The sequence below is a fragment of the Homo sapiens genome, chromosome 10, assembly GCF_000001405.40.
Source record: "Homo sapiens chromosome 10, GRCh38.p14 Primary Assembly".
Lineage (NCBI taxonomy): Eukaryota > Metazoa > Chordata > Mammalia > Primates > Hominidae > Homo > Homo sapiens.
Window position 1 is genome coordinate 58,962,215 of NC_000010.11, and position 16,598 is coordinate 58,978,812.

The window sequence follows — 16,598 nt, forward strand, 5'->3', positions numbered from 1 at the left end:
CAGAATTCATTTAACAAATATTTATTGAGTACCTACCAGCACCAGACATTGTTCTAGACACTAGGGAGAAAGGCCTAGGTAAAGATATGAACAAAAGAGAAGAAAGAATCTCTGCCCTTGTAGTTTACATTTCAGAGAATATTCTTACATTTTTGCTGATATAATTTTTCAAGTTGTTCAAAAGACCAAGGCTTCATCTCTTGCTTCTGTAGGATTTTGTTTTCTGCTTTCTAAAATGCAGACTGCTTGATATTCTTCTTAATTAAGTTGGCTGCTTGTTATTGTAGATCTGCCTGTCTTTCTGTTTTTCTGTCTCTCCCGGCTCCTAAATTCTTATATCTGGGTTCACTTTCACAGTTATGCTTTCTCTGTGTGATCAGCCATATTTTGTGCATTATGACAATGAGAGAAGTATTTTGAAACTTTGGGGCATGGAAAAAGTCATTTCCACCTCAGGGTCCAGCTGAAAATAACTTCTGTATTCTACAGCTCCATTATTTTCCTGCGTAACACCATTAAAGCCCTCCCAAAGGCAATCTTTTGGGCATTATTGTTTAATCAAATTATTCCGACAGTGTGTGGACTGCACGAGCACCTAGAACAATAGTGAGCATATAGTTGAAGCGAAGACAATGTCCAGTGAACATCAACAAACTGTTGGGCTGATTTGACTGAATCAACCAATGGTAACTGTGGCTTGCTGTTTTCTTATTATGTAGGACTTCTATTTTATGTTGAAGGTAAAAATCCTATGCAACTCTACGGGTATTGAAGACTTCATTCCTGTAGGGAAACTACTAATTGTAAGCAACAAAGACTAACAATTCCTCTTTTGTTCTCTTGAAGGATTTTAAAACAAAATCTTCTTCCACCTTTCCTCTATACCAATGGTTCCTAACTGAGGGCAATTTTGTCCCCAGAGAACAGGTGGCAATTCCTGGAGATATTTTCAACAGCATGACCAGGAGGGGCGCTATTGGCATCTACTGAATAGAGGCCAAAGATGCTACTAAACACATAAAATGCACAGAACAGCCCCTACAACAAAGAATTACGTTGTGCAAAGTGTCAACAGTGCTGAGGCTGAGTAATTCTGTTCTGTATGCATAGTCTAAGTCACCATATAATATGTAAAGGTGCTAATACCCAGAGTGCCATTGGGGGTGCTGCTCCATGATGTCAGAACATAGCCTTTGGGTAATATAAGCAACCATATCACTGGCAACTACAGCAAAATCGAACTTCAAGAGCAAATTGACAATATCTGAGTTATGGGGAGAACTGAATTTCACAAAGAATGTTCTAGAAATGGTTTGATTTTCTGCTGCTTTCTGTAAGCCTTTTAAGGTTATTCTACCTGCAACCCATGTTCTTTTTTCACTACCTCCCTCTTGGGTACAGATGGGAGGAATGTCCCAGAGATTGCAGGAAAAAAAATGCTTTTATCCTCCTCTTGCCTTTCAAAGTCTTTGCTTCCTTTACATGGCTTGGCTTCACATAATCCTTACCTGGTGGGTAATAGAGTACAGACTGTATTCCTGAAGAGCTGCCACCCCTGCTCTGTTTAGGGACCCTGCCTCAGCAGGCTGGGCTATCAGCTGCCCCCACAGCCAGCGAGCAAGTGAGGTCACACAAGCTGTGGTGGCAGAGATTACACCAGCCTTTTGCATTTGGCCTGGAATCCCATGGGGCATTCAATCCCCTCTCCTGTGGTGCCTTTGTGGGCCTTCCCCTAACAAATGCCTACTTGTTCTTCCTCAAAGCTCACAGGGTGTCAGAAGCCAAGACCGAGCCCTCGTTTGCATTCCTGGGGCCCACTGGCATGGCCTCAGGAATTCTGCAGCTGCAGCATGAATGGGGCCATTTGATGGCTTAGCTAAGGGCTTAAGTGGAGTTGGATGGCACAGAATCCTCCCATTAAACGGCACTGTCAAATTTTCAACCAGACTCAAACTAATGCTCTTTAGAAAAATCACTTGTTGTCTGAGTTCCCCCAACTTTCAACTCTTTGCTAAGGGAGGGCATCAGAGATCTGGATTCAGCTTCCACAGCAGTGGGCTTGGTACATAATGCTCAGTAAATATTGGTTAAATCAAACAGTGAAAGCCAAAGTGCCAAAATGAAGCCTTATAGATTGGTTGGTAGCACAGGAGAGGAAACAACATCTTCTTCCTCTACCCTGTTTGGTTCTCCTTCTGCAGGCCTGTAAATGAGACTGACAAAAGTCAGGTTAACTAGAAAACAAAACAAAACAAAACAGAAGTTTGTTAGTATATTCAATGCCCATGGCCATGGGGGTACTCAGTAGCGAGTGACTTAAAGGGGTAGTTAAAATTTCAGCTTCTATAGCATCTTGAGAACAATGAATTAGGAGAGAAGGGACAAGACAAGGGAAAAGGACTTAGAGCTTCTAGGCACTGGTAAATTGTGGAAAGGTAAATATATTGGGGGAACTAATGGAAAATAAGGGTTGTTTTTAGCAAGGTCTGCCTCTGGGCTGATAAAGGTCTAGAGTTGTCTTCAGTGATTAATTTCTGTCCTTTCAGGTAGAGAGGGGAGGGGGAACACCTTTACAAACTTATGTCCTGCTTTTAGGCAGAGAGCTTTTCTTGTATCTGCTTCTTCTCAATGAAGCTTCAGCTCAAAATAATCCTTATGTTAAAGTGGCATATTTTGGGGTGGCATACTCTGCTACCCTTCAGCACTGCTTTTCTTTGCCTCCACCCCTATCCTTTAGCCCTTATCTTTAGTTTAAAGAGCACTGTTCCTGGAAATGAATAATTCTCAGTAAGAGCAACAATAAATGTTTCTATACAGTCAAAATTTCAACCTTAACACCAGGCACATTGTTTCCACACCCCTAGGCTTATTTCCACATGGCCAACAAACTGTTCATTTTTAAAATGCGAATCTGAGTGTGTTCGATCATCAGGGAAAAACCTCTAGCCTCAAAACCCATCACTTTCCCTCTCTCTAACTACACTCTGAGCTCAGTGCACCCCCACCCTCCTTTCACTAAACCACTTTGTTCTGTCTTGCCACTGAGCCTTTGCACATTCTGTTGGCCTGTAACACTCTTCCTGCCTTTCTTTGTGGCGCTCTTACCCAGGATGCATTTAGCTTAGGTCAGTGGTTCTTAAAGTATACCACACATTAGAAACGTCTCAGAGAGCTTTTCATCCCCTGTACCAATTAAATCAGAATCTCTGGGAATGGAATCCAGGGATGGGGATTTGATTAAACTCCCCAGGTGATTTCAATGTGCAAGCAAGTTTGAGAACCAGTGTTTTACTGTGTATAAGTATTACCTGGTAATCTTGATGCAGATTCTGACTGAGTACATCTAGGATAAGACTTGAAATTCTGCATTTCTAATAAGCTCCTAGGTGAGGCTCATGCTGCAGGCTCATATTGTTCGTCTGCAGACCATACTTTGGGTAGCAAAGGCTGAGACTTCAGTTCCTCTAAGACAGTGGTTCTCAAAGCATGGTCTCCAGACCTGCAGCATTAGTATGGCCTGGGAACTTGCTAGAAATGCAAACTCTCAGGTCTCAAACCATACCTATTGAATCAGAAACTCTAGGGTGAGGGCCAGCAGGATGTGTTTTAAAAGTCCTCCAGGTGATCCTAACGTTTGAGAACTCATGTTTGAGAACTGCCCCTGCAGGAAGTGTTCCTGAGACCCCAAAACTAACTTTATTTTCCTCTTTCTAGTCTCTTCTGCTTTTCCAGAGTATCTTGTGTTTCCCTCTGCTGCAGCAGTTTCACTGTCTGCGTACTAGCCTATATCCCAAACTGGAGGGCAAAGTCTGTGATTGTTGGGCCCATGGGATCCCAATGACCTAGGACAGTGGCTAGCATCTACTAAGCACTCAGTAAATATTTGTTGAATGCATTAAAGAAGGACAGGGAGTTAAGCTACACCTTGTTATGTGATTCTTTCCAGGTTATTTCCTCTGTGGCTAGCATAAAGAAAAAAGAAGAAAGAACAAGGATATAAAATACCATCAAGGCCACCTGGTGCCTGAACTCTGTCCCTCACAGTGAGAAGGTCCAGGTTTTGATGATTCTTCTCTCTAGCAAAGCTAAAAATGAGAGTTTAATAAATGTCTTTCTGTGGAGAGGCTAAGCCTAGCACAAATAAAATGAGGGAGAGGGAAGGAGGAACGCAGAAACAGTTTTCTGCAGAATTACCTGGCAGTAGTTTCTTCTCATGCTGCAACACAGTGAAAAAAGAGTAATTCAGATTCCCTTCACATTCTACTCTCCCAGCTTTTCTTTCTTACCTGATAGTCTCCCTAATAGTCTCATCAATAGGAACATCTCCATTTCTTCCAGGGAACAGAGGTGAAGGTATGCCACTTACTAGGGCCCATAAGCACCTTTTGTTTGGCAGTAAGATAAAGGGAGAGAGATTTTTGCCACCCCTCGGACACAGCTATCAGCAGATTTCACGGAGTACCCCTAGCAAATTCATATTGGTTTATATAAATCTGTTGGAAGATGTAAAACTGCTTATACCCAGGAAAGGCATGGTGGGCATTGGAAATTCTCCTTCCAGGGATCACAGAATCCGGAGGGGGTAGGGTTCTTAATCCTAGTTGCATATTAAGACAACCTAAGGAGATTTCTAACAAAAGCAATGCCCAGCCCAACCCTACACCAGTGCCATCAGACTCTCCGAGAGCAGAGCCCGGGTGCCTGCATTTTTAACATCACCTGGGCACCCCAGGTGATTCTAATATGCAGCTTAAGGACCACTGGCATAGTGTTAAGGCCAGGTGGGGACTTAGGAATCATGGGACCCAATGCCATATAATGGATAAAATGAGTGGACTAGATCTCTATAGAAACAATAACGTGGAATCAGCAAAACATCACAATATGGAATGGAAAAAAACAAGTCTGCAGAGAAGAAGCTCAGAATGATACAAATTATTAAATACATGCCCCCAAATTACATATTCTTTATATTGCTATATTGATTATATGGGTAGAAGTCTAAAAGTGGATTAGAAGGAAGTGAGTTCAGGTCTTACAAGTGGTGTCTTCTGGGCCCAGGGGAAGGGACTAGGGAGGGAGGATAAAGGGAGCAAAGTGGGGTCCACCTTCTTGTGTTGTGCTTTCCTTCATTTATGGTTTCAAAACAAGACTTGAAACAAACATTGCACAATGTTAGTAGTGTCTTCTGACTGGAGGGTATGCACAGATTTATATTTTTGTGCTTTCCTCTTTTTAAAAAAAATCTTAAAACAAAAATAATTTTAAGAATAAAGATCTAGCACCTCGGGTTGTCTAATGATAAAGCCTGAATGCATAAATGCCATAATAACTCTGTCAATGGCTCTGGACTCACACACCTCAGGGAACTGCAATTAAACTCTGCTGAGTCACAGATGCCCTGCCTGGAGAGTCGTGTGCCTTCTCAGCATCCCTGTAACCTCCTCTGTCCCCAGGTTCACAGCTCCCCTACTCAGAGGCTCTCGGCTCCTCCCTCTGCGGCTGCAGGCTGCTCTCTCTGTCCCTGCCCGCTGGCCTAGTGGGTGGTGACACAGCACGGTGCATTCCTGCAGGCAGGCTCAGGCCCCTGTGTAGTTGGCTTGACCCAGGCAAGCTCCTGCACTTGTCGCTGAAGAGCAAGGGCTCAGGTGGGCGTTCCGGTGCGGGAACCTTGCAGGAAGGCAATCAGTCGGTTTGTATTCAAGCTGAAAAGCCCCCTCTGAAGCCTGCGATCCAGACACAAAGCGGGATGAATGTGCTTCGCTGCAGAGCGTACAGCTGGGTTATTGACTGGGACTGAGAGAGGCGTTGAAATGAAATAGGGAGACTGAAGAGATCTGCTCTTTTGATTCGGTCTCTTCCAGGATTTTGCAAGCTCCAGATAGCTTTGGTCCAAAGTGAAAAATCTCCCTAAGATCCTATCTAAAATTTGGGGGAATCAGCTGCGTAAATCATTTTTCTTTTGATAAAAAGCGTGCTGTTTTCTCCCCCTCCCATGTTCTGATGTGGCTGGCTCACCTGTAGCTGAGCTGTTTGAATGAGCTGGGTTTTCCTCCTTCCTGGCAAGCTTAGGTGTAAAGCAAGCCGGTTCCTGAGAGAAGTGGAGGAGCCATGTTTATGGAGTCTGAGGACAGTCCCTAATTATGCCAGGCAATCAGAGGCTTTAATGGATGAATAACTGTCAAAGTACAGTGGGGTGTTTGATAACCTGTAAGGCTGCTTATTGTGAGTGGAAATCACAGGGTGAAAAAAAGAAACAGGGATGGATGAGCTTGTGTTTCTTACCCCTCCTTGCCTTTGAAGAATTTGACAATACTGTCATCAAGTGCTCCCTGGGGAGGGTGCTCTTGGGGACCTAGGAGGATTCTGGTTCGAGGAAAGCAGAGGAGAGCTACATAATTAAGGAAGAAGAAGCAGAAATTGGGGGTAGGGCTGCACATTTAATGCAAGAATTCAAAGCATAGAAGTCCTGTTGAAGAGAAAGGGGGAGAACCCCCCACTATCCAGTACCTCCAGAGGAGGAGCTGGAGGCACAGACCAGATGGGATCACCACACAAGTTCTTCATATAGAAAATAGGAAAACTGAGGAATCTGCTTCACTGTTGAATAAGTCTCTCCAAGGGTTTTGCCAGCTCCAGAAATTGAGCTTAAGTGGTGTTCTAGACATGAGATCATTTTATTGCTAGGTTGCAGTAGGAGGAATTTTCCTTAATGTCTGGAAACAGGAGGGCATTGACTCTGTTTCTAATGCAGGGACACCTAATAGAGCTCAATTTGCTTGCCAACTCTGCTTGAGTGGTAGTGGCTACCTGGAGCACTCAGGAGGGGCCTTAAGGCCAGAGCCAGGCTCTGGTGGAACAATGCTTGATTGATTAGTGATGTCTGTCTTGGGTGTGTAATGGTAAAGGCAGCATGTGTGCCTCCTATTTGGAATTTTTGCTTTGGGATGCTTTTCCTTCTGTAGGTGTATCACCACCACTGACATCCATTTAACAATCTATGCATTAGACTCCAAGTCTTTTAGCTCTTCTGCTAAGGAGATTTCAGCCTAAAAGGGATGGCAAAACAGTTCATCAATCATATTTTTTTCTAGGTCCTTTGGAATCGGCTAAGTTTACAATTCAAGGGGCATTGGAATACTTTTCCACTGGCTTGCCTCACTTACCAAAATGCCTACAGAAGTTATGCCGGAGAGAACAGACCTTAATTTTTAGGTTTATCCTCCCCAAATTTACAATCAGAAATTTGCAATTGTATGGTGAAAATAAATGTTCAGTGACTAAGTCTCTTTTCAAGGCCCTGATATAAGTAGCTTTGAGTCTAAATCCAATTTCCAAATAGATGTTGGAGCATCTTAAGTGGTGACAATAGTTATGGTGTAATGAAACTGGAAGAGTATCTGGGAGCAGAACTCTGACACCAATGTCTTGTTGCCTATGGGAGGAAGGATAAGCCCAGAAAGGATGACTCAGGTTTTGAATCCTGATAAGGAGCTGAGAAGAGGGACAGGAGAGGGATTGTGGAGAGAGGAGAGAATGTGGGAAGGATTCAAGTCCCTGTTGCAGACAGCCCCAGCTCACCAAAAACATGAATTACTCATTTGTCTTTAGAGAGTGTGGTAGGCTGAATCATGTCTCCAACCAAATATGTTCAAGTCCTAATCTCTGGTCCTTGTACACCATAAAAGAGACTTTTTGGACGTGATTAAGACTTTCAAGATGGTGAAAACATCCTGGATTATCTAAATGGGTCCAATGCAATCACAGTGGTTCTCATAAGAAGGAAGCAGGAAGGTCACAGCCAGCAAAGGAGATGTGATAATGAAAGCAGAGGTCAGTGACATGGGGCCATGAGACAAGGAATGCAGGCAGCCTCTAGAGCAGCGGTCCCCAGTGTTTTTGGCACCAGGGACTGGTTTTGTGGGAGACAATTTTTTCATGGACTTGGCAGGGAGATGGTGGTTTGGGATGAAACTGTTCCACCTCAGATCATCAGGCATTAGGCTCTCATAAGGACCACACAACCTAGATCCCTTGCATGTGCAGTTCACAATAGGGCTCATGCTCCCATAAGAATCTAATGCTGCTGCTGATCTGACAGGAGGTGGAGCTCAGGCGGAAGTGCTCACTTGCCTGGTGCTCACTTCCTGCTGTGCAGCCCAGTTCCTCACAGGCCATGGACTGGTACTGGTCCATGGCCCAGGGGTGGGGACTCCTGCTGTAGAAGCTGGGAAACACAAGGCCAGATCCTTCTCTAGAGCCTCCAGAAGGTACACAGTCCTACAAACCCATTTTAGGCTTCTGACCTCTAGAACCATAAGAAAATAAATTTGTGTTGCTTTAAGCTACTAAGTTTGTGGCAATTATAGCAGCCATAGGAAATGAAGACAGAGCCCCTCTCTGACTTACAAAGCCTCTCCTCTATCCCCACAGACTTTAGGCTCCTGGTAACCATACCCCCATAAACAGCTGTTCGTAGGAAAGGAGGCCCTGTCCTGTGTGGTTTAGAATGAATTTTAGTCACACATTTCAATCACCTCAGCAGCTTGACTAATGGCAAATTTTGTCCATGCTACAGGAATTCCAAGCACAAAGACCCCTTCCTAATCCCTCTACACATAAGGCTGCCAATTTAGCATCAAGGGAAGGTTTAATGTCCTAGACAGGAAGAATTTTTAAGGTAGGGAATTCCTAAAATCTCAACCTTGCTTTTTTCTCCCTTGATAAGAAATCATAAGACCTGCAATTTTAAGTTCTTTTTTTCTTCCTTCATTTTCTTTTTTATTTACTTTTTCTTTCATCTCCCTCTATCACTTAGGCTGGAGTACAGTGTTGTGATGACAGTTCTCTGCAACTTCCAGTTCCTGAGCTCAAGCGATCCTCTCACCTCAGCCTCCTCAGTAGCTGGGACTACAGATGTGTGCCATCAGGCCTGGCTGGTTTTTAATTTTTTTGTAGAAACAGGGTCTCACTATGTTTTTCAGGCTGGTTTCAAACTCCTGCCTCAAGCAAGTCCCACTTTGGCCTCCCAAAGCACTGAGATTACAGGCATGAGCCACTGTACCCAGCCCAATTTAAAATAATTTCTAATTGCTCTGTGTCAGTTAAGATACCATAAGACTTCTCTTCATATCAGCCTTCATCTATCACATTGAAGGAAAAAATTACTTTAGCTGGACATATGACTAAAAGCATCTGTATCTTTTGAGGCTAATTAAGGTGAAATTCACTGAAAATTTATTTCAGAGAAGTAGTCTGTAGGTTCCATGAGGCCAGGACCAGGGTGTATCTGTCACCATCAATGAGTTATAGTAACCAGCAGAGTGTCTGGAACAGAGTAGACATTCAAGCAATAGATCTTCATTGAATAAATGAATGAACTAAAGTAAATAATGTTTGATAATGGTGGTTCACTAAATGAGTATCCCCAAGGAAAGTAACCCATGTAGAAAATACTAAAGGCTATTGCCAAATTTTGCAAGGAATGTAGTGGTCTTTGAGATAGAAGTATGAAATACAGATTTTCTTGCATGTGATTCTTGGTGTAATTACAGGAAATTTTAATTTTCTTCTTTATGCTTGTCTGTGTTTTAAAATTTTGTGTACTGAATACGATTTACATTTGTAATCAGAAAAAAAGTAATTTCTCAAAATGTTCTTAGGGAGTATGATGAGATGGCTAGAGTTACATGACTTTCCTTGGATGTAGCTTTAGCTGTTAGAGGGAGGTATTAAACTCATGAATGCAGTTAATTATTGATCCCTGGTTTTCTTACAGGAAAGAGCTACATGGAAATAGCCAGCAAATAGGGTTTAGAGTTATGGTAAGAAGCAATAACCGTGAGTCAAATCCTCAGTCTGTCCTTAGTATTTGTTTGACTATAGACAAGTTACTTAGCTTCTCTCAGCTCTGATGCTTTATCTGTAAAATGGGGTAAACAACCACACAGGACTATTTGGGAGTTAAGTGAGACACAAGTTGTAAAGCAGCCCCATGCCTGGCACATGGTAAGTGTTCAATACATGTCAGCTCTTATTATTTTTATTATTAACAAATTGAACATTCTTGGCCTTGATGCTGACATTTCCTGCTGATAGGCAAACTGATTTTTTTCAGTGCACACAAATGGAGGGCACTGGGAATCTCTGGATTTTTTCCTAGCAATAATTAGAAATGACAGAGTGATTAGGTGGCTAGAGGACATAATTAACCTCTCTGGTTCTCAGTCCTCTTTTCTGTAAAAGGAGGGGATAGAATTATAAGATCTTAAAGGTTCCTCCCTGCTCTATGATGTTATGTGTATAAGATTTATTTTTGAATTGGAAACCATCATTTGAAAGATAATGACTTTCTTAAAATTTCATGTATTTATTTATTTAGAACCACAATCTATTCCCTTCTACAATCTATTGTACTAGATGAGTATCTGGGTACATAATAAGAAAGATCCTGGTATCTGGTCAATTGTCTTTGTATTCCATATACAAGGCTGGAGGCTGATTTCAATTTTTTTTGTTGTTGCTCAGGAAACTTAAATTACATTTGTCTTGGAAATGGACTAGAGGATGAAAAGCCTGAGATTTTTTAAAACCCATGCATTGTTAAAGAGAACAACAGCCAGCCATTTCAAGGTTGCAATGCCTAACTTGGTGATGGAGAAATTTAAGATTGTACCTGACTAAAATGAAAAGAACCTTTTTGTTTTTTAGATGCCTGCCCTGTGGCTGCCCAGGGCTACCAATTATGGTGCCACCTTGTCTAACTTCTCACTCTGTCCATTTTCCTCTTCATGAAAATTTACCTGCACAATGTTTCATCCCCCCAGGGCCTTGCTTCTAGTTGCTATGGCAACAGTGAGCTAATCCGCTTAATGTGCCCTTCCTACCGTCTCAAGCAAGGGAGACTTTAGGAGACAACCTCTTCCTGGAAGTGAAATGACATTAATGGGGAAATCTCAAACTAATTTTTAAGACTGATTGTTTGAAACAAGCAATCTGTAGTACCCCTCAAATTAAAACATGGAAATCATCTTCCTTCCTACTTACATATAGAGCCAACCTGATGCCTTGTTATTCTTATTCTTTCCTTTGCTAAACATCATGTCCTATTCGCTGTGATCATAGTGACATGCAGGCTGTGGTCTGTCCTGATGAGTGCTGTGACTGCACAGGTGATATCCAAATTCAATCATCTAGCACTTTTCATCGACTTTCACTAATGCAGGAAGAAATAACACTGGATTCAACAACAGCAACAACAACACCACCACCAACAAAACAACCTCTGCCAATTCCTTATCCTGTTTCTGACTGACCTCTTTTACACCCAAGGAAAGTATTGTCAAACCACCAATCCCCCAGAGCTGCACTGTCTTGGAGATGCTAAATTACAAAGAGAAAACATCTCAGCATTAAGGAGGAAGAGAGCTCTGGCTGTGGAATGATTAGAGGGTGGAGCATCCTTGGGCAAAATGCTGCAATATCTCCTTGGGCTTATATGCTATTATCCTGATTCTAAGATTTTCCATCTCAGGTATTCAGACCTCTAAACTCTGTCTCCTTCTCCCCAACCCTATTTACAAGTTGACATGTACCAAAAAGAATAAATGAATAACAACAGTTTACATTGTTACTCATTCTCAGAGACATTTTGACATGAAATACAGATGTAATTTAAACTACAGTAGAATTTAAGTATAGAATCAGGAAGGGGTGGTGGGAAATTAGAGGTCCAGATGATTATATAGTCCAGTAACCTAGGATTAATTGCCTCTGCACTTCTGCCTTTGGCAGAACCTTAACCTCTCTAAACCTTAGTTTTCTCACCTATATTATGGGATCATAATTGTTCCTATCTCATAAAGGACTGCCAAAGAAAAACTAGAGCTGCATAGTAATTAAAGTGGTAAAAGCAGATTTTGATTAGGAACTATTGCAATAGGGGAAAATGTGTCTAGCCTAGTATAGCACTAGGCTCAATTCTGAATACAGCAAGCACAGGTGAAGATTTATAGCCAAAGAGCAGGGTGGGAGTCAGTGGATAAAAAATTTCTAAGAGGAAACATCGGGGGTGTAAGCCAAAAATAAAATTGTAAGCCCCTCAACCAACTGAATGGAACCCCCTCTTGACCAAAGGCATTCCAAAGTAAACCTGAAAAATGAGTTCAGGCCATGATAGGAAGGGAGGATCAGACATACCTCATTTTTATACCCTCCCTGCTTTGTAATTCAGACACAATTTACCAGCATTAACATTAAAACACAGATCTTAAGACTGACAAAACAGACTCTTTGTAGCTATAAGATACCAAATTCTAACCTGAATCTAGTATAGCATCACATGATAGGTAGCAAGCCCTGAAAGAAATAGAAACATTCAAAATATAGTTCTTTTTTTTTTTTTTTTTTTTTTGAGATGGAGTCTTGCTCTGTCACCCAGGCTGGAGTGCAGTGGTGTGACCTCAGCTCACTGCAACCCCCACCTCCTGGGTTCAAGTAATTCTCCCTGCCTCAGCCTCCCAAGAAGCTGGGATTACAGGCACCTGCCCCATGCTCGGCTAATTTTTGTATTTCTAGTAGAGACAGGGTTTCACCATGTTAACCAGGCTGGTCTCAAGCTTCTGACTTCAGGTGATCTGCCTGCATTGGCCTCCCAAAGAGCTGGGGTTACAGGCATGAGCCACTGTGCCTGGCCCCCAAATATATTTATTTGACATATTTTGAAATGGCCCTGCAAAGCTATCTCTTGTGGGGAAAATCTACATTCTGTAGAGAATCCCCTTCCCTTTCCATGTCTTTTCCTGATCCAGGAGAGAGTTAACTAAGAGTGTAGCACCTTTAAGGGTCTGGCAAGAGATATTTACCATCTACTCCCTGAAGCCTGCTAACCTGGAGGCTTCATCAACATGACAAGAACCTTGGCTTCCACAATCCCCCTATATCAGCAACAAACATTTCTTTCTGCAGGCCTCAATTCCTCAGGCAGTACTTTTTTAACCAATCGCCACCAGAGAAACTTTTAACTCCACCTATGACGTGGAAGCCCCTGCTTTGAGATGTCTCACCTTTTCAGGCCGGATCAATGTACACCTTACATTATCGGTTTACAACTCTGCTTGTAGTTTCTGTCCCCCTGAAATGTAAAAAATCAAGCTGTAACCCAGCCACCATGGGCAGATGTTCTTGAGACCTGTTGAGACTATGCCTTGGGCCCTGGTCACTTGTATTTGGCTCAGAATAAATCCCTTAAAATATTTCACAGAGTTTGACTATTCTTTTTTAACACCAGGAGTAAGGGAGGATTATGGCTAAATGACCTAAGAGCATTCTTACTGAACGCAGATCAAGGTGATCAGATATCACTTGGGGATAGTGGGAGATAAGGAATTTGATCAGATATCAAGGATGATCAGATATTAAGGGTGGAGGATTCTCACTAAACTGACCTAGCAGTTTTAAAATTGGGCAATGCAAAGATGAATACTGAAGGTTGAGGCCTACAGGGCTTAGAGGAGCCTAGAGTTAGGTCAAAGAGAGACTCTTTGTCAAGGTGTTCAGAAGATTAAATTATCCACATAAAGTGTTAAGGGATCAAGTAAGCAATGGATATATTACAGTTCCTGTTAAAAATAAAGCATTAAGAGAAGGAAATTAAGGCTGGTTGTAGAATTTAAAACATCACTTGTTTGTAAAAATGTTTATTCAAGTCATTTGCCTATTTTTTAAATCAGGTTATTTATTTTTTGCTGTTGAGTTGACTGAGTTCCTTATATATTTTGGATCTTAACCCCTTATCAGATATACAGTTTACAAATATTTTATCCCATTCCATAGGTTGCCTTCTCTCATAGGATTGTTTCCTTTGCTGTGCAGAGCTTTTTAGTTTGATATAGTCCCACTTGTTTATTTTTGCTGTTGTTGCTTGTACTTTTGGTGTCATATCCAAAAAATGCATTGCCAAGACCAATGTCAAGGAGCTTGTTCTTGGCTGGGCATGGTAGCTCATGCTTGTAATCCCAGCACTTTGGGAAGCTGAGGTTGGGGGGGTTACTTGAGCCCAGGAGCTCAAGACCAGCCTGGGAAACATGGCAAGGCCCCATCTCTACAAAAATAGCAAAAAATTAGCTGGGTGTGGTGGCACCCACCATAGTCCCAGCTACACAGAGGCTGAGGTGGGAGATGGCTTGAGCCCAGGAGGTCAAGGCTTCAGCAAGCCATTTCATGCCATTGCATGAACTCCAGCCAGAGAAGTCAGGGCTGCAGCAAGCCATGATTACACAACTGCACTCCAGCCTTGGTGATCGAATGAGACTCTGCCAAAAAAAAAAAGAAAGAAAGAAAAAGAGAGAGAGATCTTGTTCTTTTTGCTTCTTTTAGGAGTTTTATGGTTCTAGGTCTTGGCTAAATAGATATATGAGAAGGTACTTAACATCACTAATCATCAAATGCAAATCAAAACCACAATGAGATATCACCTCACACTTGTTAGGATGGCTGTTATCAAAAAGTCATAAGATAACAGGTATACAGTCATTATGGAAAACATTATAGCAGTACCTCAAAAAATTAAAAAGAAAACTATTTTCATCATATGATCCAGCAATCTCACTTCTGGGTATATATCCAAAGGAAATGAAATCAGTAAGTCAAAGAGATACTAATATCTGCATTCCCATGTTGGTTGTAGCACTATTCACAATAACCAAGACATGGAAACAACAAAGTGCTGATAGATGAGTGGATAAAGAAATTGACATGCACACTCTCACACACATACACACACACAGACACACACAGAGACACATACATACACACTGGGATATTATTTAGCCTTAAAAAAAAAAAGGAAATCTTGCCTCTTGCAACAACATGAATCAAGCTGGGGGACATTATGCTAAGTGAAATAAGCCCTACCCAGAAAGAAAAATAGTGCATGCTTTCACTTATAGGTGAAATCTAAAAAATTCAATTTCATAGAAGCAAAGAGTAGAATGGTGCTTACCAGAGGTGAAAGATGAGGGGAAATGGGAAGATATTAGTCAAAAAGTACAAAGTTAGTATGTAGGATGCATAAGTTCTAGAGAGCTAATGTATTGCATAGGGAGTATAGTTAGTATTGTATTCTAGAAATTTGCAAAGAAAGTAGATTTTAAGTGTTCTTACTACACACATAAAATGTTAATTAGCTTGACTGCAGTAATTTCCTATGTATATGTATTAATATATCAAAACATCACAATTTACACCTTAAAAATACAATTTTAATAAAAATTTTTTAAAAAAATAACTTGTTTATTCAACAAATACTTATTAAGCACCTATCATATGTGTTCAGGCGCTGCTTTATTTTATTATTTATTAATTTTTTTGAGGGAGGGTCTCGCTCTGTTGCCAAGGATGGAGTGTAATGGTGCACTCGCTGCTCACTGCAGCCTTGACTTCCTGGGCTCAAGCAATCCTCTTCCTGAGTAGCTGGGACTAAAGGCATGTATCATGTGCATAGCTTTTTTTTTTTTTTTTTTTTTTTTTTTTTTTTTTTTTTGGTAGAGATAGCTGTTGTCATGTTGCTGGGGCTGGTCTCAAGCTCCTGGGCTCAAGTGATCCTCCCACCTTGGCCTCCCAAAGGGTTAGGATTATAGGTATAAGCCACCATGCCTGGCCTCTAGACTGTTTTGAATATTGTGCTAGGAGAACAGCCATGAACAAGACGGACAAAATTTTTGCCATTGCTGAGCCTACATATTAGTGGAGGAAGGTAGGAAATAAACAAATACATGTATATTAATTTCAGGTAGCAATAAATGCTGTGAACAAAATAAGCAGGTTAAGGAGATAAAGAGTGATATGGAGTGGAATTATCTTACACAGGGTGAGCAGGGAAGATGTCTCTGAGGAGGAGGCCATAATCACAGAATTTTAAATGAAATAAAGGAGTGAGTCAGGTGAGTGACCGATGGAAAGAATTAGCAAATCAGCCATGATTTGGTAGATTGTTTTGTTTTTCTGGGAATTTTCCATTACCTATAAAATTATATCAGTGGATGCAAATTTATTTGGCTAGAAGTAAAGTTGATCTTGAATGTGAGATTAGGGCTAGAGGAAAAAGGAAACCAGGGTTTGCTGAGCACTTACTATGTGCCGGGGCTATACTCCCTGCTTTAAACAGGTTTGTTATGTCCTCTAATGCAGCAGTCCCCAACCTTTCTGGCACCAGAGACTGGTTTTGTGGAAGACGATTTTTCCACAGACTGGGAGGCGGGGATGGTTTCAGGATGAAACTGTTTCATCTCAGATGATCAGGCATTATTAGTTAGAGTCGCATAAGGAGCGGGCAACCTCGATCCCTCGCATGCGCAGTTCACAATGCGGGGGGGTGGGGGGGTGGGGGGGGGGACGCACTCCTGTGAGAATCCAATGCTGCCACTGATCTGACGGGAGGTGGAGCTCAGGCGGTAATTCCGCAGGCCTGCCGCTCACTTCCTGCTGTGCGACCTGGATCCTAATGGGCCACGGACAGGTACCAGTTCATGGCCCGGGATTTGGGGACCCCTGCTTTGATGAACCAACCAATCACGCTGTCATTTCTCATAACAGCCCAA

At 41.9% G+C, this 16,598-nt stretch overlaps 3 annotated features.

The window, feature by feature from the left end:
• Nucleotides 1,261-1,762: an enhancer, noted in NCBI's record as "OCT4-NANOG-H3K4me1 hESC enhancer chr10:60723235-60723736 (GRCh37/hg19 assembly coordinates)". NCBI's record gives its function as "activates a minimal SCP1, AML or CMV promoter by ChIP-STARR-seq in naive H9 embryonic stem cells {active_cell/tissue: H9 hESC(naive)}" and the evidence as "EXISTENCE:reporter gene assay evidence [ECO:0000049][PMID:30033119]".
• Nucleotides 1,763-2,262: an enhancer, noted in NCBI's record as "OCT4-NANOG-H3K4me1 hESC enhancer chr10:60723737-60724236 (GRCh37/hg19 assembly coordinates)". NCBI's record gives its function as "activates a minimal SCP1, AML or CMV promoter by ChIP-STARR-seq in naive and primed H9 embryonic stem cells {active_cell/tissue: H9 hESC(naive and primed)}" and the evidence as "EXISTENCE:reporter gene assay evidence [ECO:0000049][PMID:30033119]".
• Nucleotides 5,095-6,008: an enhancer, noted in NCBI's record as "NANOG-H3K27ac-H3K4me1 hESC enhancer chr10:60727069-60727982 (GRCh37/hg19 assembly coordinates)". NCBI's record gives its function as "activates a minimal SCP1, AML or CMV promoter by ChIP-STARR-seq in naive H9 embryonic stem cells {active_cell/tissue: H9 hESC(naive)}" and the evidence as "EXISTENCE:reporter gene assay evidence [ECO:0000049][PMID:30033119]".